This window comes from Homo sapiens, chromosome 17, assembly GCF_000001405.40.
Source record: "Homo sapiens chromosome 17, GRCh38.p14 Primary Assembly".
Classification (NCBI taxonomy): Eukaryota; Metazoa; Chordata; class Mammalia; order Primates; family Hominidae; genus Homo; species Homo sapiens.
This window is the reverse complement of record NC_000017.11, coordinates 45,362,004-45,381,149: the sequence shown is the minus strand read 5'-3', so window position 1 is coordinate 45,381,149 and position 19,146 is coordinate 45,362,004. Positions and strand designations below refer to the sequence as shown.

General features: G+C 50.0%; 1 long non-coding RNA gene across 1 annotated transcript, besides 8 other annotated features; it reads left to right on the top strand.

The window, feature by feature from the left end:
- Positions 4,036–4,841: an enhancer, noted in NCBI's record as "H3K27ac hESC enhancer chr17:43453675-43454480 (GRCh37/hg19 assembly coordinates)". NCBI's record gives its function as "activates a minimal SCP1, AML or CMV promoter by ChIP-STARR-seq in primed H9 embryonic stem cells {active_cell/tissue: H9 hESC(primed)}" and the evidence as "EXISTENCE:reporter gene assay evidence [ECO:0000049][PMID:30033119]".
- Positions 6,681–7,252: an enhancer, noted in NCBI's record as "H3K27ac-H3K4me1 hESC enhancer chr17:43451264-43451835 (GRCh37/hg19 assembly coordinates)". NCBI's record gives its function as "activates a minimal SCP1, AML or CMV promoter by ChIP-STARR-seq in naive and primed H9 embryonic stem cells {active_cell/tissue: H9 hESC(naive and primed)}" and the evidence as "EXISTENCE:reporter gene assay evidence [ECO:0000049][PMID:30033119]".
- Positions 7,253–7,825: an enhancer, noted in NCBI's record as "H3K27ac-H3K4me1 hESC enhancer chr17:43450691-43451263 (GRCh37/hg19 assembly coordinates)". NCBI's record gives its function as "activates a minimal SCP1, AML or CMV promoter by ChIP-STARR-seq in naive H9 embryonic stem cells {active_cell/tissue: H9 hESC(naive)}" and the evidence as "EXISTENCE:reporter gene assay evidence [ECO:0000049][PMID:30033119]".
- Positions 8,484–9,133: an enhancer, noted in NCBI's record as "OCT4-NANOG-H3K27ac-H3K4me1 hESC enhancer chr17:43449383-43450032 (GRCh37/hg19 assembly coordinates)". NCBI's record gives its function as "activates a minimal SCP1, AML or CMV promoter by ChIP-STARR-seq in primed H9 embryonic stem cells {active_cell/tissue: H9 hESC(primed)}" and the evidence as "EXISTENCE:reporter gene assay evidence [ECO:0000049][PMID:30033119]".
- Positions 8,484–9,931: a biological region, named in NCBI's record as "P300/CBP strongly-dependent group 1 enhancer GRCh37_chr17:43448585-43449784".
- Positions 8,732–9,931: an enhancer, noted in NCBI's record as "P300/CBP strongly-dependent group 1 enhancer chr17:43448585-43449784 (GRCh37/hg19 assembly coordinates)". NCBI's record gives its function as "activates an origin of replication core promoter dependent on BRD2, BRD4, P300/CBP, MED14 and CDK7 cofactors, with strong dependence on P300/CBP, by STARR-seq in HCT116 cells {active_cell/tissue: HCT116}" and the evidence as "EXISTENCE:reporter gene assay evidence [ECO:0000049][PMID:35650434]".
- Positions 9,093–9,387: an enhancer, noted in NCBI's record as "tiled region #455; HepG2 Activating DNase unmatched - State 1:Tss". NCBI's record gives its function as "activates a minimal TATA promoter and a strong SV40 promoter by Sharpr-MPRA in HepG2 cells {active_cell/tissue: HepG2}" and the evidence as "EXISTENCE:reporter gene assay evidence [ECO:0000049][PMID:27701403]".
- Positions 9,134–9,782: an enhancer, noted in NCBI's record as "OCT4-NANOG-H3K27ac-H3K4me1 hESC enhancer chr17:43448734-43449382 (GRCh37/hg19 assembly coordinates)". NCBI's record gives its function as "activates a minimal SCP1, AML or CMV promoter by ChIP-STARR-seq in naive H9 embryonic stem cells {active_cell/tissue: H9 hESC(naive)}" and the evidence as "EXISTENCE:reporter gene assay evidence [ECO:0000049][PMID:30033119]".
- Positions 14,628–17,901, top strand: LOC105371796 (uncharacterized). Its single transcript, XR_934786.3, has 3 exons — positions 14,628–15,291; positions 16,370–16,466; positions 17,467–17,901. It is a non-coding gene; the product is annotated as an uncharacterized LOC105371796 (long non-coding RNA).
- Positions 17,902–19,146: the final 1,245 nt, after the last annotated feature.

Below are 19,146 nucleotides of genomic sequence, written 5' to 3'. Positions count from 1 at the left end.
GCTCTGACAGCTTTAACTTGAAGGTACAGTGCAAATAGCAGGTATTTGGAGGAACTTTGCCTTGGATCAAGTCCAAATTGCCATGCCTGGCTTAGAGGTCCTGCATCATATTATAAAGACAGTTCCGCATGGTAGTTGAGAGCACAGATTTGGGAAAGGGGAGCTTAAAAAAAAAGAACACAGATTTGTGAAGTTGACAAACTTGACTTTGAATCTGAGCTGTGCCACTGGCTGTGGCACTCTAAGCAAGTTACCCAGACTCTCTGAGCATCAGCTTCCTTACCTATAAATCACCTTAGAGAATGATGGACTTGCTAAGTCGGGGGATGAAGAGGCCCAGCACTAAACACACTGCGTGAGTGGGATAGCTGCCTGCTGCTCCCTGAACCAGCCCTGCTGTTTCACACACACCTCCTTGCACCCCCAGGTGTTTGCACATGCCGTTCCTCTGTAATGCCTTTCCACCTGGCGATCACACTGCTCATCCTTCCATGTCTAGCTCAAGCGCCTCGTCCCATGTGATGCCAGCCCCAGATGGGGGCTGCATCACTCTTTCTGCATCATTCCACCCATGACATGTGCACGTCCGACGCTAATTATATCCTGTTTGGGCTATTTATATGGTTTGCCATTCCTGTAGCTGTTGGCACCATACTCGGCTCCTAGGAGGAGGCTTTCAGTACCTCCTTACTAGACAAATGAAAGAATGGACAACTCGTCAAATGATTCTAATTTCCCTGCAGCTTCCTGGCAGGGAGGGCCTGGTTCCTTTTGCGTGCTCATAAGAACATCAGACGTGCAGCCGTGTGTTTAGGGACCTTATCCATCTTATGGAGAACTGGCACCACAAGATGTGTTGTGGGTGAGTGGTTATCACCATGACGTCAGCCTCAAAGGTTAGGGATGTCCCCAAGTCATTCCAGTTCCCTTTAGCACCCTATATGGATAGGTCACCCATAAGAGCACCTCCAACTTCTACTTCATTGCAGAAGGGTAACAGGTTCCCTAAGCCAGGCACTTGCTGCATAAGAAAGGGATGCTTTTATTTTTTTTGAGATGGAGTCTTGTTCTGTCACCATGGCTGGAGTGTAGTTGTGCCATCTCGGCTCACTGAAACCTCCAGTTTCCAGGTTCAAGCCATTCTCCTGCCTCAGCCTCCCGAACAGTTGGGACCACAGGTGTGCACCACCACACCCAGCAATTTTTGTATTTTTAGTAGAGATGGGGTTTCATCATATTGGCCAGGCTGGTCTTGAACTCCTGACCTCAAGTGATTCGCCCGCCTTGGCCTCCCAAAGTGCTGGGATTACAGGCTTGAGCCACCACACTCGGCGCTTTATTTTAAACTTTTATAAGTAATCAGCAGGTGCAGGGGGAAGAAAGGGGCACCTTGTTTTGATATGACTTTGCGTGTGACTGAGTTCACAGTTCCCTTTGTGGTTTGATAAATTGGGCCATATTCCTTTAACAAGAAAATTGCCATAGAACCCCTTTGAAACCTGTGCTGCCCTCCAAGATCTGGCGAGACAATGAGCATCTCACTTCACCCCGCTCCCCTGCACTCCTTGCTCTCCCCAAATATGCAGGCACTTACACAGCCCCTGGCTGTGGCCATGCCCGTCCCTCAGCCCCACCTTTTCCACCGGTGGAAGTCAACCCACAGGTACAGTTACCACCAAGTGCTGGCCTTGTGCTGGTCAGAATAAGATGGAAACGGCAAGAACCCTGTCTTCTTATCTCCCACGCGGAGTCAGATACAGAGAGAAATTCACAGTACAGGATGGTGCGTGTCGTGGGGGAGGGGCATAGGGCCTGAGGGAGACCAGAGATTTGGGGACAAGGGTAGGGAAGGCTTCCTGGAGGAGGTTGACGTTTTGATTTCTGGTGAGTTTGCTCTGTCCCACTAGAATGTGAGCTGCATGAGGGCAGGGCCCTCCATCTTGTCCTCAGCTGTTTCCCCAATTATGAATGCTCAGGACCATGGTGAACATACAGTAGCTGTTTAATCAACAACTGCAAAGGAATCAGGCAATTGCTGAGCTAGCTTGGGAGGGCTCCGTGAAAGCTGGCCCTTCTGAAGGCATTCTAGGATGGAGGTCCTTGGTGAGCAGAGGCCTGGCACAGGGAACCAGCAGGATGTGTGAGGGGGATGGGATGCAGTTGGAGTAGACAGTCGGAGGATGGAGTGCCCAGCAGGCAGGGCAGGGCCGGGCAGTGGGAGCCCTCACCCTCCCTCACCCCCTTCCTATTCTGAGACCCCACTGCCCCTGGCTCTTTGTGTACACTTCCTACACACCCTAAATCCCGCCTCGTGTGACACAAGTTCATTTATCAGCACTTATTTAGCACTTACTGTGTGTCAGGTGTGGTGCCAGGGCAAAACACCTACCATGTGCAGCATGAGGCAGTTTCCAGAGTGATTTTCCATCCAGTACCAGCATCCCTAGAGAAAGGGATCCATCCATCCACACATCCCTTTATTTGTGCAATCATTGACAGGCAGGGAACACGGCAGGTACAAAGGTCCTGGGTGGGACAGTGCTCAGGCACTGGAGGAGGAGAGGAAGGTGGTCGGTGTCTACGGAGAATGGGAATGTTTGATGGGGGTGAAGTGGGAAGTGGAAGGTTTGAGGTAGGAGCCAGCAGCCAGACTGGGAAAGGCTTGTAGACATCTGGATTAATTCTGCAGTGAGATGCAAATCCACAGAAAGCCTCTACAAAGGTGAGGGATGCATTCTGGTTGACATTTTAACAAGATCATGGGGCCAAGCTAGAGTTAGAGGATGCAGAAAGACTGGCATTAGCTTAGGGTCTATGTAGGAGGTAAAACTGTGGAACCAACTGCGGAAGCCATTATTTCTCTTCCAAACCGCTTTCTCCCCATCATTTCAGAAAATGGTACTACTAGAACTCTATTGCCCCAGCCAGAAATTTCTAATTTCTGCATCCCTTCTCTCTTTCACCTCTTACATTCGATCAGCTCTGACAGTGTCCGGCAAGAAAGTGGAACAGCTTCCAGGCAGTGCCATGCGTGCATTTCAGGTTAATGTGCACCATCAGGCAGCCTGGCTATGAGATAGGCTCAGCAACTTCGGCTTCCCTGGTGCAGCCGGGGGAAAAGTGCACAGTTGGCTTTGCCACAGTGAGGTTCTGCCAGCTGAAGACGACAAGGGGAGCAAGAAACAAGAGCTGGGGCTGTTGCAAGACAATAATCAACATGGTAGACCAGGGACCCCAAGGTGGAAAAGGAGGGAAAGAAGGGGGGGTTGGATGGCCGGAGAGAAAGTAGAACTTTAGAAGGAACCTGCCCCAGAGAAAGAGAACTGGAAGGATAAGAGGTGTGGTCAGGGTAAAAATTCAGGGATGGTGCTGTGAGAAAAGAGGACAAGGTGTAGGATGTGACGGTGGGAGTGGACAGCTGGGTGCAGTGGAGAAAGTAATGTCTGGAGGCGAGGAGGTCAGGATGCAGACGAGGCACCGTGTGGATGTTAGAGTCATTTTGAATGAGGCTGGGTGGACCACAGGCAGTGAGCCAGGAGCTAAAGGTGCCCCAGTGAGGGGGAGTGGCTGGGAGGTGGGGGGCACCAGCACTGGCAGGGGCATGGGTGGTTGGTGTGTTCAGAGGAACCGAGGGGCTGGGCGAGGTGGCTTACACCTGTAATCCAGGCACTTTGAGAGGCGGAGGTGGAAAGATCCCTTGAGGCAGAAGTTGAAGACCAGCCTTAGCAACATAGTAAGAACCCCGTCTCTACACATGGTTTAAAAATTAGCTGTAGCCGGGCGTGGTGGCTCCCGCCTGTAATCCCAGCACTTTGGGAGGCTGAGGCGGGCGGATCACGAGATTAGGAGATCAGGACCATCCTGGCTAACACGGTGAAACCCTGTCTCTACTAAGAATACAAAAATTAGCCAGGCATGGTGACACACGCCTGTAGTCCCAGCTACTCGGGAGGCTGAGGCAGGAGAATCGCTTGAATCCGGGAGGTGGAGGTTGCAGTGAGCCAAGATTGTACCATTGCACGCCAGCCTGGGCGACACGGCGAGACTCCACCTCAAGAAAAAAATTAGGTGAGTCTGGTGGCATGTGCCTGTAGTCCTAGCTATGCAGGAGGCTGAGGTAGGAGGATTGCTTGAGCCCAGGAGTTCAAGGCTGCAGTGAGCTTTGATCACCCCACTGCACTCCAGCCTGGGTGACAGAACAAGACCCTGCCTCTAAAAAAAAAAAAAAAAAAAAAGCAGCAGCAGCCAAGGGTTGAAGGAAGAAGGGTTTGGAATTGGCCTACCTCCACGTCCTGGCAACGAGGTGCTTCCTCTGAACAGGGCTGCTGGGACGCTTCCCCCCAGGGCCAGGAGTGAGAGGTGGGGGTAAGATAAGGATGTGGGGATGGTGGGAGGATAACACTGGAGGGAGGGAGGGTCCCAAGGAGGGTGCAAAGTTAACTAGCTGTTAGCAGAGGCTAGCTTTTCTAGGACGGCCTTTAACCCCTAAACTGCTCAAATTGAGTTTTGCCTAGGTCTTTCCAGGCCAACAACACTAGTCTCCCCCAGTTCACTCCCTTCCTCTACACTCTGGGGCAGAGCCAGGTGTAAACAGCTGAAAGGCACAGGGGGCAGGCCCCATCCCTTCAGCCCTGCTCCTTTGTAGATAATCTCTGCAGGCACCAGAGAGGTGCCACCTAACGGCACAGAAACTGCTCTTCAACCGTCAGGAGGGTTGGGGGAGCCTGGGGCTCTGTATTAGCCACCAGGACCCCCTCATTCTCTGCTCTGTTTGAAGAGAAAGCAGGTGCCTCCCAGAGGGCCACCGCTACCTTGTCTGTGTGTGCAGGTGGGGCCTGTTTAACGTCAGCATTTCCTTTGTCCTGATAGGCTCAGCATGAGATTCCTACCTTCTGGGCAGGAAATGGGAAGACATTGGCTGTGTGATCCATCGTCTTGGCTTTTTCTTTTTCTTTTCCTTTCCTGTCCTTTCTTTCCTTCCTTTCTTTCTTTCTTTCATCAGGTGATCTCAATGGACGCTCTGAACAACTCATTGTCCATTCTCCAGCGCTGGGCAGGAGGGGGGATAGACCCTGGGATAAAGGGGATGAAGCCTGGTCCTGAAACTCCAGGATTTCAACAAGTGATCAGTGGGCCAGAGCTGGAATTGGAGTACAAACAGGGAGGGAGTATGGGATCTCTAAGGAAGCTCACAGGTTTTGTGTCTTCATGGAGTCTGGGCCAGGGGCAACAGGAAGCCTGGATTTGTCTTTCCAGATGGAGGGACTCGCCTAGTGGCCCTGTGACAACTGAGAAAGGCAACACTCCCAGCAATCCCCATCTGAGCATTAGCAACGTATTAGGTCACCCTTTCCAGTGACCTCACCACACCCCTGATGGGTAGGCAGTGCCACAGCTTCCATTTCACAGAGGAGAGAGCAGTGCCCAGTCTACAGCTGGTTTTGGCCCCACAGTAGTGGGCACGTTATGCATCCATTCACTTATGCATTCAAGGAATGTTTATTAAGCACCTATTATGTGCTAGGCACTGTTGTAGGCATTGAGGATGCAGCAGATTACAATGCAAAGAAACCTCCCTGCCTTCATGGAGCTCACACTCTAATGGGGGGGGATAGGGGAGAGAGCTAAATAGTAAAAAGAGCTGACGTGGTTTAACATCACAGACCACCAGGCGCAGTGGCTCTCGCCTGTAATCCCAGCACTTTGGGAGGCTGAGGCAAGAGGATCACTTGAGTTCAGAAGTTCAAGACCAGCCTGGGTAACATAGTGAGACACCCCCCAATCTCTACAAAAAAAATTTAAAAAATTAGCTGGATATGGTTACATACACCTGTAGTCCCAGCAACTCCAGAGGCTGAGATGGGAGGATCGCTTGAGCCCAGGAGTTCCAGGCTGCAGTGAGCTGTGATCCTGCTACTGCACTCTAGCCTGGGTAACAGAACAAGACCCTGTCTCAAAATAAATATAAATAGGCCAGGCACAGTGGCTCACCCCTATAACCCCAGCACTTTGGGAGGCCAAGGTGGGCAGATCACTTGAAGTCAGGAGTTCAAGGCCAGCCTGGCCAAAGTAGCAAAACCCCATCTCTCAAAAGTACAAAAATTAGCCAGTCGTGGTGGTGCACACCTGTAATCCCAGCTACTCAGGAGGCTGAGGCAGGAGAATTGCTTGAACCCAGGAGGCAGGGGTTGCAGTGAGCCGAGATCGTACCACTGCACTCCAGCCTGGGCAACAGAGCGAGACTGTCTCAAAAAACAAAAACGAAAACAACAACAAAAAGAAAAATCAATCAATAAATAATATAAATGAATAAATAAATAAATGTCTTCCTAAAATGAAATATCTAAAGATACTGACTAAAATAGAAATACAACTCCCATGTAACTGCCAAATCCACAAAATAAATAAATAAGATGACTCCACAAATGCTGACCGCCCTGAGGGAGTCTGAGGGCTTATAAAAAGCAAAGGGTTTGGGATTGAAGAGCCAGAGAGACCCAGGAGAAAAGGTCTTGTGCCGGCTTTGAGGAGAAAAGACACAGACTTCAGTTTCTTTTCTTTTTTTTTTTTTTTTTTGAGACGAAGTCTCACTGTTACCCAGGCTGGAGTAGAATGGCGTGATCTTGGCTCACTGCAATCTCCGCCTCCCAGGTTCAAGTGATTCTCCTACCTCAGCCTCCCAAGTAGCTGGGATTACAGGCACACGCTACCACACCCAGCTGGTTTTTGTATTTTTAGTTGAGATGGGGTTTCGACATGTTGGCCAGGCTGGTCTCAAACTCCTGACCTCAAGTGATCTGCCCGCCTCGGCCTCCCAAAGTGCTGGGATTACAGGAGTGAGCACTGTGCCTGGCCAGACTTCAGTTCTTGACGGGAGGAGTGCCAGATAATTTGCAGACATTTAGAACTGCCAAACAGCTAGGAGTGGTGGCATCAGAAGGTGAACGTGGGGTGTCTGATGACAAAGTCTACACACTAGGACTCCACACGCTGCCAGGCTGCAGGGAAAGAGAGGAGAGGGTCTCTGCTAAGGCGGTGGATGTGTGGATGGGGATGGAACAGAGAGGAGACATGCTGGGAAGGTCAAAGTGTTGTCCTATCTGGCATGGACACCCCAGCTTGCGCAGGCAGAGGCTGGGGAACTGCTGGGTTGGAAGGGGGGCTCTATGGGCTGGAGAGGTACATGCTCAGGAGGCCCCTTCTCCCCTGCTGGGGGCCTGGATCAGTCCCTGGGGCCAGGGAGAAGGGAGAAGGAGGGTCCTGCATTCAGTGAGCCGGGCGGGGTTTTGCAAGGAGCTGGCAAGAGAGCACTGGGGATGCCGCTGCCCAGATTGTAGCCACCACAGCCCTTGGGAAGTGAAACTTGTTCAAGGCCAGCTTTCTCATTCGTTTGAGGTTGACGTTCAGTGGCTCTCCTGTTCAGGGAGGCAGACAGAGGCCTGGTGGCCCCAGCCCAGGGCCTGAAACACACTGAAACTTGCGTGGGGGATGTGGGAGAAAGGAGGCCTCCCAGATGACCCCCGCTCCCAGTGGGGATTCCCAGCTGGGTAAGGGGAGGGCTGTGAACTCCCAGGTCCTGAATTCACTGGGTCCTTCTCCTCTAACACCATACCCAGGGGGTAGGGGTGGGGGTGGGGCAGGGACTCTGGACTGGCTTTTGGTAGCCGCTGCACCAGGAAAGATTTTTGTGACTTTCATAGGTCACTTCCCTCCTGAGTACTCAGTTTTCTCATCCACCAAATGTCAGGTCAGGTGATCTTGAAGGTCCTCTGCTCTCCCAGCATCACCAGAAAGATTATTCACCTCAAGCTCTTTCTCTTAGCTCCCAAAAGCAGTCGGCTGGCCGGACGAATGCCCAGGAGGTGTTCTTAAAGATGAGGGTAGGGTCAGCCCGGATCCACCATGACCTGTCTGGGCCTCACCGCAGCTAGACCTACCACCTCCCAACTTGCTCCATTCACTAGCGAAATGGGGAGAGAATGTGGGTGGCTTGGGGTGGGCTGAGGCCTCCTTCATTTTTTTTTTTTTTTTTTTTTTGAGACGGAGTCTCACTCTGTCGCCCAGGCTGGAGTGCAATGTCACAGTCTTGGCTCACTGGAACCTCTGCCTCCCAGGTTCAAGTGATTCTCCTGTCTCAGCCTCCAGAGTAGCTGGGATTACAGGCACGCACCACCATACCCGGCTAATTTTTGTATTTTTAGTAGAGACGGAGTTTCACCATGTTGGCCAGGCTGGTCTCAAACTCCTGACCTCAAGTGATCCTCCCGCCTTGGCCTCCCAAAATGTTGGGATTACAAGCGTGAGCCACCACGCCTGGCTGGGGGTATCATTATTATGCCCCTTTATGGATGCGGGAACTGAGGCACAGAAGGGCTAGGTAACCTACCCAAGGTCACACAGCTGAAAAGTGGCCAAACCAAGGCTAGGGCCTGGGGAGCTGGAGCCCTGAGTCTGGGCTTAGTCACTTGAGATTTCTTGTCTCCCAACAACTGCCTGTAAGTGGTAGGCATTGGCTCTGTGACCCAGGAGGGGAAAGGTCGTTTGCCAAGAAGGATGATGTCTTTGGCTGTAGTGGACAAGGAGAGCTTCCCAGAGGAAGGACAGGAGAGGGAGTGGGACAGACAGGGTAGGCAGAGCCTTGTGTGCAGCCCCGTGAGGAAGACAGGAACTCGGGCTTAGACCCACTGGCTTGTTTCCGGCTGTGACTTGACCTCTCTGAGCCCGGGCTGCTCTGTAAAATGGGTATAACACAGACCCACAGTTTCTTACTTAAAACCTTGGGGCCAGATGTGCTTTGGAATTCAGAATTCTTTAGATTTTAGAAACAATTTGGTGCGTGTATAGAATGGCACCCTCAGGGTACCTGGGACCGCATTCTTGTAATCAAACATGTACTTTTTTTTTCTTTTTCTTTTTTTTTCCATCAGCAAACATGTAAGTATTCACGTGCAGCCAGATAAGTGAAACTGCAACTTAATCTCAGGTTGGTTCAGGTCAGATTTCGCCATCCTGTAAGCTCGGTTTTCAGGCATTTGGGGAATCTGGAATTGAGGAGAGGAGAACGTGGTTCCTTAGGAGATCAGGCCTGAGAATCCCCGCACAGAGAGAGAGGGCGCTTCCTCCGCAGGCTTCCCTGCCTGCTGGGGGCCAGGGAGGAGACCAGCTTGTTGGAAGCGGAGACGTCTAAGGAGTTTCCAAATAGGAAAACCAGCGGCTGCAGGCCTCAGGACGTGGCCGGGCGAGCCGCAGCCTCATCCCGCGAGCGGGCGTTCCTGAGCTGCCTGCACCGTGAGTCACCCGGACGGCCGCGGGCAGCGCGCAGGAATGCGGCCTCGCCAATCGGCGGGGAGCGGGTGGGCGGCGGGCAGGCGAGGGCACCTCCGGGCTGAGCCGCTGCGCGTGACTCAGCAGGGACCCCCTGCGCGGGCGAGCCGGCTGCTGCCCTGCGGGGGACCCACCCGCTGGGACCTTGGTAGGGGATATGGGAAGAAACTGTACACCTTCCATTTGTATTTATTTGTATTTCTTCCTTTTACGTTTAAATTTATTTTCAAATAGGTAGTACCTTCATATGCTTTAAAAATGTAAAGCGGCCGGGAGCGGTGCCTCACACGCCTGTAACCCCGGCACGCTGGGAGGCTGAGGCAGGAGGATTGCCTGAGACCAGGAGTTGGAGGGCAGTCTGGGCGACAGAGGGAGACCCCCCGTCTCGACAAATAAAATAAAATAAAGATATAAAGATCTGGAAGAGATATTTGTACACCCATGTTCATAGCAGCATTATTCACATTGGCCAAAAGGTGGAAGCAACCCAAATATCTATGGAGAGATGAATGGATAAACAAAATGTGGCCCACGCATATATTATTCAGCCTTAAAAGGGAAGGCGCTTCTGTCACATGCTACAACATGGGTGAACCTTGAGGACATTGTGCTCCGTGAAATCAGCTTGTCACAGAAATACGAATACTGTGTGATTCCACTATATGAGGTGTCTGGAGCAGGCTTCTTCACAGAGAAACGGGGGTGCCAGGAACCTAGGGAGAGGGGAAGTGGAGTTCTTTTACGGGTACAGAGTTTCAGTTTCGCAAGATGAAAAGAGCTCTGGAAATGGATGGTGGTGATGGTTGTACCAAAAGGCGAATGTACTTAGCACCACTCAACTGTACACTTAAAAAATAGCTAAGATGGTAAACTTTGTTATGTGTGTTTTACCAAAATTAAAAAGAAAAAATTTAAAGGTACAAAAGTCACTCTCCCAGTCCTGGCCTGCAAGCCATCCACTTCCTTCACCCAAAACACCTAGTCTCACCAGTTTTCGTGTATCCTTCCAGAGCGTCTGTGCAAATCCATATAGGCATGTGTAAGTATAAACATATAAATATAAATCTGCATAATAGTCTATATATACACACCTGTTCCTCTTTAAAAAAAAACAGTGGGGCTGGGCACGGTGGCTCACACCTGTAATCCCAGCACTTTGGGAGGCCGAGGCAGGCAGATCACTTGAGGTCAGGAGTTCGAGACCAGCCTGGCCAACATGGCGAAACCCTGTCTCTACTAAAAAATACAAAAAAATTAGCTGGGCGTGGTGGCAGGTGCCTGTAGTCCCAGCTATTCAGGAGGCTGAGGCAGGAGAATGGCATGAACCCGGGAGGCGGAGCTTGCAGTGAGCAGATAGCGCCACTGCACTCCAGCATGGGTGACAGAGTAAGACTCTGTCTCACAAAAAAAAAAAAGAAAAAGAAAAAGAAAAATTAGCCGGGCGTGGTGGCAGGCACCGATAATACCAGCTACTCCGGAGGCTGAGGCAGGAGAATCGCTTGAACTGGGAGGTGGAGGTTGCAGTGAGCCGAGATTGTGCCACTTCACTCCAGCCTGGGCAAAAGAGCGAAACTCCATCACAAAAAAAACAAAAACAAACAAACAAAAAAAACACCAAAAAAAAAAAAAAAACCAATGGTAGCGTATTCTGTGCTTTGTTTTTCCATTTAAAAATACACCTTGGAGGCCAAGCGTGGTGGCTCACACCTGTAATCCTAACACTTTGGAAGGCCGAAACAGGTGGATCACCTGAGGTCAGGAGTTCGAGACCAGCCTGACAAACATGTTGAAACCCCGTCTCTACTAAAAATACAAAAGTTAGCTGGGCATGGTGGCAGATGCCTGTAATCCCAGCTACTGGGGAGGCTAAGGCAGGATAATCGCTTCTTGAACCTGGGAGGCAGAGGTTGCAGTAAGCAGAGTTCATGCCACTGCACTCCAGCCTGGGTGACAGAGCAACACTCTGTCTCAAAAAGAAAAAAAAAATCTTGGAGACCTTTCTAAACCAGTACCTAACAAGCTTCCTCATTTTTTTTTTAACAACTTCATTGAGATATGATATAATTTACATAAAACACATCCATTGTAAATGTACTATTCAACAGTTTTTTTTTAAATGTATAGAGTTGGGCAGCTATCACCACAAGCCAGTTTTATAACATTGCCATCATCCCCCAAAGTCCTGTTGGATCCATCTGCAGTGAATCCTCACAGCCATCCCAGCTCCAGCAATGACAGATTTGCTTTCTCTACAGATTTGTGTTTTCTGGAAATTTCATATAAATGGAAGCACACAATATGTGGTCTTTTGTGTCTAGCTTCTTTTACTGAGCATAATATTTTTGAAGTTCATCTATGTCGTAGCTCATTTAAGAAGTTTGTTCCTTTTTTGCTTTTTGTTTTTTGTTTTTTTGATACCGAGTCTCACTCTGTCGCCAAGGCTGGAGTGCAGTGGTGCGATCTCGGCTCACTGTAACCTCCACCTCCCAGGTTCAATCGATTCTTGTGCCTCAGCCTCCTGAGTAGTTGGGACGACAGGCGTGCGCCACCACTCCCGGCTAATTTTTGTATTTTTAGTAGAGATGGTGTTTCACCATGTTGGCCAGGCTAGTCTCAAACTCCTGGCCTCAGGTGATTCACCTGCCTCGACCTCCCGAAGTGCTGAGATTACGAATGTGAGCCACTGCGCTCGGCCAGTTTGTTCCTTTTTATTGCTGAGTAGTATTACACTGAATGGATATTTCACATTTTGTTTATCCAGTTACCAGCTTTTGCATATTTGGATGATTTACAGGGTTTTTAAAATGTACAATGCTGCTATGAGCATTCAGGTCTTTGTGTGGCCACATTTTTACTTCTCTTGGGTAGTTTCTGTTTAACTTTTTAAGCAACTGCCAAGCTGTTTTCCAAAGTGGCTGCATCATGTTACATTCCCAACAGCAATGTATGAGGCTTCCACTTTCTCTACATTCTCCACCACACTTGTTATTATTATCTGTCTTTTTGATTATAGCCATCCTGGTGGGTTTGAAATGGTATCTCATTGTGGTTTTAATTTGCATTTTTCAAATAACAAATTGAAATTGAACATTTTTGTGTGCTTATTAACCATTCTTTTTTATTATTGTTAGGAGAGAGAGGGTTTTCCTCTGTCACCCAGGCTGGAGTGCAGTGGCACAATCATAGCTCACTGCAGCCTTGAGCTTCTGAGCCCAAAAGATCCTCCTGCCTCAGCCTCCTGAGTAGCTGGGACTATAGATACACACCACTATATCGGCTAATTTTTTTTTTTTTTTGTAGAGATGGGGTTTTGCTATGTTGACCAGGCTGGTCTCAAACTCCTGGCCTCAAGCAATCCTCCTGCCTCGGCTCCTGAAGTGCTGGGATTACAGGCATGTGTCACAATATCCTGAGCCATGCCAGCCCATATATTTTCTTTGAAAAAAATGTCTATTAGAGTCTTTCATCTTTTTTTTTTTTTTGCAGCGGGAGTTTTGTGGTGGCGGTGGGGGAGTCTTGCTCTGTTGCCCAGGCTGGAGGGTAGTGGCACAACCTTGACTCACCACAACCTCTGCCACCTGGGTTCAAGCGATTCTCCTGCATCAGCCTCCTAAGTAGCTGGGATTACAGGCGCCTGCCAGCACACCTGGCTAGTTTTTGTAATTTTAGTAGAGATGGGGTTTCACCATGTTGCCCAGGCTGGTCTCAAACTCCTAGCCTCAAGCAATCCACTTGTCTCGGCCTCCCAAAGTGCTGGGATTACAGACATGAGCCACCACGCCTGGGTTGTTTTGTCCATCTTTACATTTAGTTGTTTGTCTTCTTATTATCGAGTTATAAGACATCATTTTAAAAAATAGGTCAGTCATAGTTGATTGTATGCATGGGACGTCATTTGTTTAACTTGTTTCCTATTGATATCTCTTAAAATTTTCGTTTTATACGTATTTTTATAATAGGCATAATATATTAATGCAATAGTTTATGTTCCTGACATAAATAAGCAAATACAATTGGAATACATCCTCAAGTTAGTTTGCTGAGAGGGATCATTAAGGCCTGGTGACCCCTGACCTGAGCCTTCCTCCCCCTCCCCCCTCTCCCCGCCTGCCCCACCCCGTCCATCAGGCCCTTTCTAGCAATCTCAAGGTTTGTAGAAACCTTGTTAAAAGCCCTCTTTCCTGGCAGCCTCTGACCTCCAAAAAGTCTGATTGGGATCCCCTAACTGATGAGGGAGGCTGAGGCTGAGGGAGTCCACCCAGGGTAACATCGGCACGGTCTGAATCACAGGGCTTTCTGGAATGACCCAGAGGCCACCCCTTCCTTAATTTGGGAAGCTCCAGGCTAGAGGACATGATGAGTGTTCATGCTGAGGTTCTCCTGAGTCCAGCAGCGTGAGGCGAGCTCAGAGCCCAGGAGTGTGGTTCGGGATGGTGCTGCCCTCAGCCCCCATGCTGCGTCCTGACCCCCCGCCCATCCATCTGCCCAGCCTGTCAATGTGGACTCACACACACCTGGTGTCACCTCAGAGCAATCCAAAGTAAAAGACCCTGCTGGTCCATGTCTCCCCTCCTGGTGGTTCCTTCATCTCCATTATCTTCTTCTTCATCATCCTCATTGTCACCACGTACTGCAGACATGTCCCATGCCTGTAAGTGACTTCTGGGATACTGTTTAATCCTCCAACAAATCCTACGAGCTGGAGCTTATTAGTTCTCTATTGCAGAAGAGAAAACTGAGGCTCCGGGAGGCTATGGGACTTCTCTGTCCCATCTTAGCAACAGAGGTGGAATCCACAGTCCACACCTTTGACTGGGACATGGCCCTACCCACCCTTCAGGGGCTGAGAACTGGCGCAGACTCAGCCTTCAGCTGATTTTCACCTGATTCTTAGCAGACGTCTTGGAAAAACCTCCTGGTGACATAATAAGAGCAGTGTGGCTCCAGGGTCGGGGAGGAATTTAGGGGGTGAGAATTGGGGGTGCCCCCCCTTGCCCTGAGCCAGGGCAGCTGCAGAGAAAGTACTATTCAGGGCAGGGCAGGAATGGACCCTGGAGAGCCTGAGGGTCCCACAGGGAGAGCACGCTGTCTACCCCCAGCACAGCCCCCGCCTCTCCTGGGGCTCAGCAGGCAGAGGGGAGAGGGCAGGTTCAGCCCAGAGAAGAGGGACTGTCACAGGTACCAAGCTTGTCTACTTTGGCAGGAGAAAGCTAAGGTCTGTAATCACACTTTCTGTTTTCACTTTTCTTCCATTTCTGAGTAAGCATTTCTATTGGAAAACTCCAGACTTGTCTGAGCTCAACGAAAGGAAAAGGGATCTGTGGGCACCCAGAGCAGGCCAGGGGTGGGGGTGGGGAGCCGGGCCCCTGAGTGGGTAGTATGCGTTTCCAGGGGCTCAGATCTGATGATCCCATCCTTGGCTCCACAAATTCAATCCATGCCCCTTAGCTTGGCATTCGAGGCCTTTCCTTCATCTGGCTTCAGCCCCTGCTTCTCTCTGGCTTACATCCAGGTTTCTGCTCACATTGTTCCCTATGCCCACAATGCCCTTTCCTCCCATCCTAAGAGATCCAATGCCCAAACTCTGGTCATCCTTCAAGGCCCAGCCCAGATGCCTCCTCCTCCATGAAGCCTTCCTTGACCCCCTCAGCTGGACATGACATCTCCCTCTTCTGAATTCCCACAGCCCTTGGTTCATACTTCTCTGAGGGCGTATTCCATTCTCCCACCAGCAGCAGACCTTGGTTGTGACCCTACCCAGCATCCTTCCTCCTTCTGATCAAAACACTCCAATATTCCATGAGAAATATCTGTCGCCCACCTTCAGACATGTGGTCCAGAAGAAGCTGATTCCACTCCCAGGATCCAGAGAGGCTCATAAGGCCCAGGCCTCGAAGTCGGAGTAGCCCATCTTTTCTCCTACCCCCTCCACTTCTGAACCCTGTGCTTGCTATGGGATCAGTTCAGGTATGGGGCTGTGACTCAGTCACAGCCAGAGCTATATCAGGGCTTTTTTCCTCTTTCTTTCTTTCTTTCTTTCTTTCTTTCTTTCTTTCTTTCTTTCTTTCTTTCTTTCTTCCTTCCTTCCTTCCTTCCTTCCTTTCTTTCTTTCTTTCTTCCTTTCTTTCTTTCTTTCCTTCTTTCTTTCTTCCTTTCTTTCTCTCTCTTTCTTTCTTCTTTCTTTCTTTCTTTTTTTAATTTATTTATTATTATTATACTTTAAGTTTTAGGGTACATGTGCACAATGTGCAGGTTAGTTACATATGTATACATGTGCCATGCTGGTTCATTCTTTCTTTCTTTCTTTCTTTCCCTTTTTTTTTTTTTTTTTGTTTTGTTGTTGTTTTTTGAGACAGAGTCACCCTCTGTCGCCCAGGCTGGAGTACAGTGGTGTGATCTCACTGCAACCTCCGCCTCCCAGGTTCAGGTGATTTTCCTGCCTCAGCGTCCTGGGTAGCTGGGATTACAGGCGCATGCCACCACACCCAGCTAATTTTTGTATTTTTAATAGAGACAGGGTTTCACCATGTTGGCCAGGCTGGTCTCAAACTCCTGACCTCAAGTGATCCGCCCACCTCAGCCTCTCAAAGTGCTGGGATTACAGACGTGAGCCACCGCGCCCAGCCTCTCTATAGATCTTACTCTGGCCCTGGGTTCACGTCACTTGCAAGTGAAAAATCCCTGACTGCTATTTATTCCTTTGCTCTGTTTCTCTGCAGCTAATGTCCTACTTGGACCTGCAGGATGGAGGCTCCTGGAAGTCAGGTGCCATGATCTCTTGCCTTTGTGCTCCCACAGCACCAAGCACAGGGCCAGCCGCACAGAAAGTTTCCACGAGGGTTTGTAGAACCGTCTGTGGGAGGAGTGAACACGCTGGCTGTCCTGGCCCTCCCCACCCCAACCAGGAGCCCATCTCGGGCCTGGGACTCTCCACCTTCTCCCCAGACCTGACCTGGCAGTGGACAGCCCAGACTGGAGCTTCCTGCCTGCCACACTGGCTCTCCAGTCAGCAGAGGCCAGAAAGTGGTGATTTCCTGTATTGCAGGATCAGATGGCAGAATCGCAAGAGCTCCGCATCCCCAGGGACTCATCTGAAAGACAATGTGAAGCAAAGACAATGTGAGGCGTGGGGAGACTTCCAGGTACTTGGTTGCATCTGGGGAGGGGCCAGTGGTGTCTGAGCTTTAGCTTCTGGAAGCCGGCTGCTGCGGGGTGGAGACAGAGGGGCTGTGCCAGAGAGGGAACAGCTCTAGAAACCAGCAACAGGGAGAAGTTTGATGCAGGGCAGAGGGGAACCTGGGATGGGAGGCTGGGCAAGGGGCTCCTGCTCCCCAGGGGGCTGATGAAGACCCTTGGTGTTCTCCCACCTGCCTCTGGGAGCTTGTGGTGTTTTTGTTGTTGTGTTTTGGTGTTTTGTTTTGTTTTGAGACTGGACTGAGTCTCACTTTGTCGCCCAGGCTGGAATGCAGTGGTGCAATCTTGGCTCACTAAAACCTCCACCTCCCAGGTTCAAGTGATTCTCCTGCCTCAGCCTCCTGAGTAGCTGGGATTATAGCGCCCGCCACCACGCCCAGCTAATTTTTATATTTTTAGTAGAGATGGGGTTTCACCATATTGGCCAGGCTGGTCTCGAACTCCTGACCTCAAGTGATCCGCCCACCTTGGCCTCCCAAAGTGCTGGGATTACAGACGTGAGCCACTGCGCCCAGCTGGGAACTTGTGTTTTAGAAAGTCCTTCAGTTCCATCCTTACTCTGGAGCACTGTAAAGTTTATAAAACAAAATGTCTGAGAGCACCACCTTGTTAGTAACCAACTGAGTGGAACCCTACTCTATCTAGTGTCCTGTTCTGGTGTATTGGTCAGGAGAGGCTATAGTGTGCTGAGGTAAACATTGACCTCCAAATCTTAGCGGCTTCTTGATGCAACAAAGGTGTATTTTTCTCGTTCACACAAAACTGCTGCAGGTTGGGTAACTGTCCAGGTTAGCTGTCCCTTGTACAGGCTACTTCCTTCTAGTGGCTCTACCATTTCAAACCATGGCATCTGTGGTTGCCACTAAAGGCCAAGAGAGAACAGGAGGGTTGGACAGCAGCACTTCAGTGTTTCGGTCCAGAAATGACACCTGTCACTTCCATTCACAGCCTGTTGGTCAGAGTTTGCCTCATGACCCCACCCTGACTGCACGGAAGGCTGGGAAGTGTGGAGGAGGACATGAGTAGTCAATGAGCATTGAGTGCCTCTGCCATGCTGGGTATCCCAGGGGAAGAGGAGACACAGGCACAGAGGACTGGAGGACTTTGAGGCTGGATATCTAGGTTCAAACCCAAGCTCTTCTAGAATGACTAGAAGCTATGTGACCTTGGGAAAATTACTAAATGTCTCTGAGTCTTGCTTTTCTCCTGTGCCAAACGGGGATAAAATAAGAGTTCCTACCTCACGAGGTTGTTGGGAAGATAAATCAGACCATGCTTATAAAAAGAGCTAGTGGTGCCCAGCACAAGGTTGGCATTTGTATTAGTCTGCTTTCACGCTGCTAATAAAGACATATCCAAGACTGGGTAATTTATAAAGAAAAAGAGGTTTAATGGACTCACAATTCTACGTGGCTGGGGAGGCCTCACAATCATGATGGAAGGCAAAAGGCATGTCTTACATGGTGGCAGGCAAAAAGAGAATGAGGGAAGCAAGTGAAAGGGGTTTCCCCTTGTACAACCATCAGCTCTCATGAGACTTATTCACTGTCATTTGAACAGTATGGGAGAAACCGCCCCCGTGATTCAATGATCTCCCACCGGGTCCCTCCCAAAACACGTGGGAATTATGGAAGCTACAAATCAAAATGAGATTTGGTTGGGGACACAGCCAAACCATATCAGCATTTAATAAGTGGACACTATTTGATTAGTCTGTTTAGAAAAAGTTGAAGATGCTCAACATATGACTGAAAAATAGAGCTAATTGAAAAATATAGCCAAAGCCTCCCTTTCAATAGCTGGCTCCCTTGTCTGCCCCTGCCCAGGGTCCCCTTGCTCTCCTTCCCTCCCCTCTGCAAGGACTTATAAGGATCCCCCAGTCAACCACTCCCCTGTGTGCGAGAAGATCTGCCCTCTCCCCCAGGGTGCATGTATCTGAAGTCTTAGTGTTGGGTACACGCATCTGAAGTCTTGGTGTTGATCGTGGGGAGAAAACCTTGGTGCTCTGTTGAAGAATACCAAACATTAGCAAGCAGATGAGAGAGGGGCACATATGTTCTCCAAACAGTGCTCCTACTTGTGTTTATGGCAAACAGGGTGCCCAGAGAATGGAAGATGCTGAGATCCTTGAAAAGTGTCTTGGAGGAGGTCAGGTTTAGGCAAGCGACTAGAAGGAGGGGGACCCCGGGTGGCTGAGGGAGGAGGGAGGGGCTGGAAAAGAGCCTGTAACAACCTCAGCAATGGAGGAGACAGTAAGAAACCATGCTGGTGATGGAGTGGGAGATAACTCTTCACATCCAGAGAGCTCTGCACAGTTTAAAAGTAAGGCCACCTGACTGGTGAAAACTCAACAGAGCTCAGTGGCAGGGAGAGCAACATCTGAACTCTCCTTTCCAGTGTTGCTGTCACTGGGAAGCAGTTGCCGAGCCAGGGACCACATTTCCCAGGCCCCCTTGGCCCCATGCCACGTTCTTGCCAATGGAATGGGAGCAGAAGTAACGTGTGTCACTTCCAGGCCAAGGCTTTTGAGGAGTGGTTATGCCTTTCATGGGGTCTCTTTCCCCTCCTATTAAATGAGTGTAGAAGATGATAGTTAGACCAGGCGGTGGTAGGGCCTCAAAATGGAAA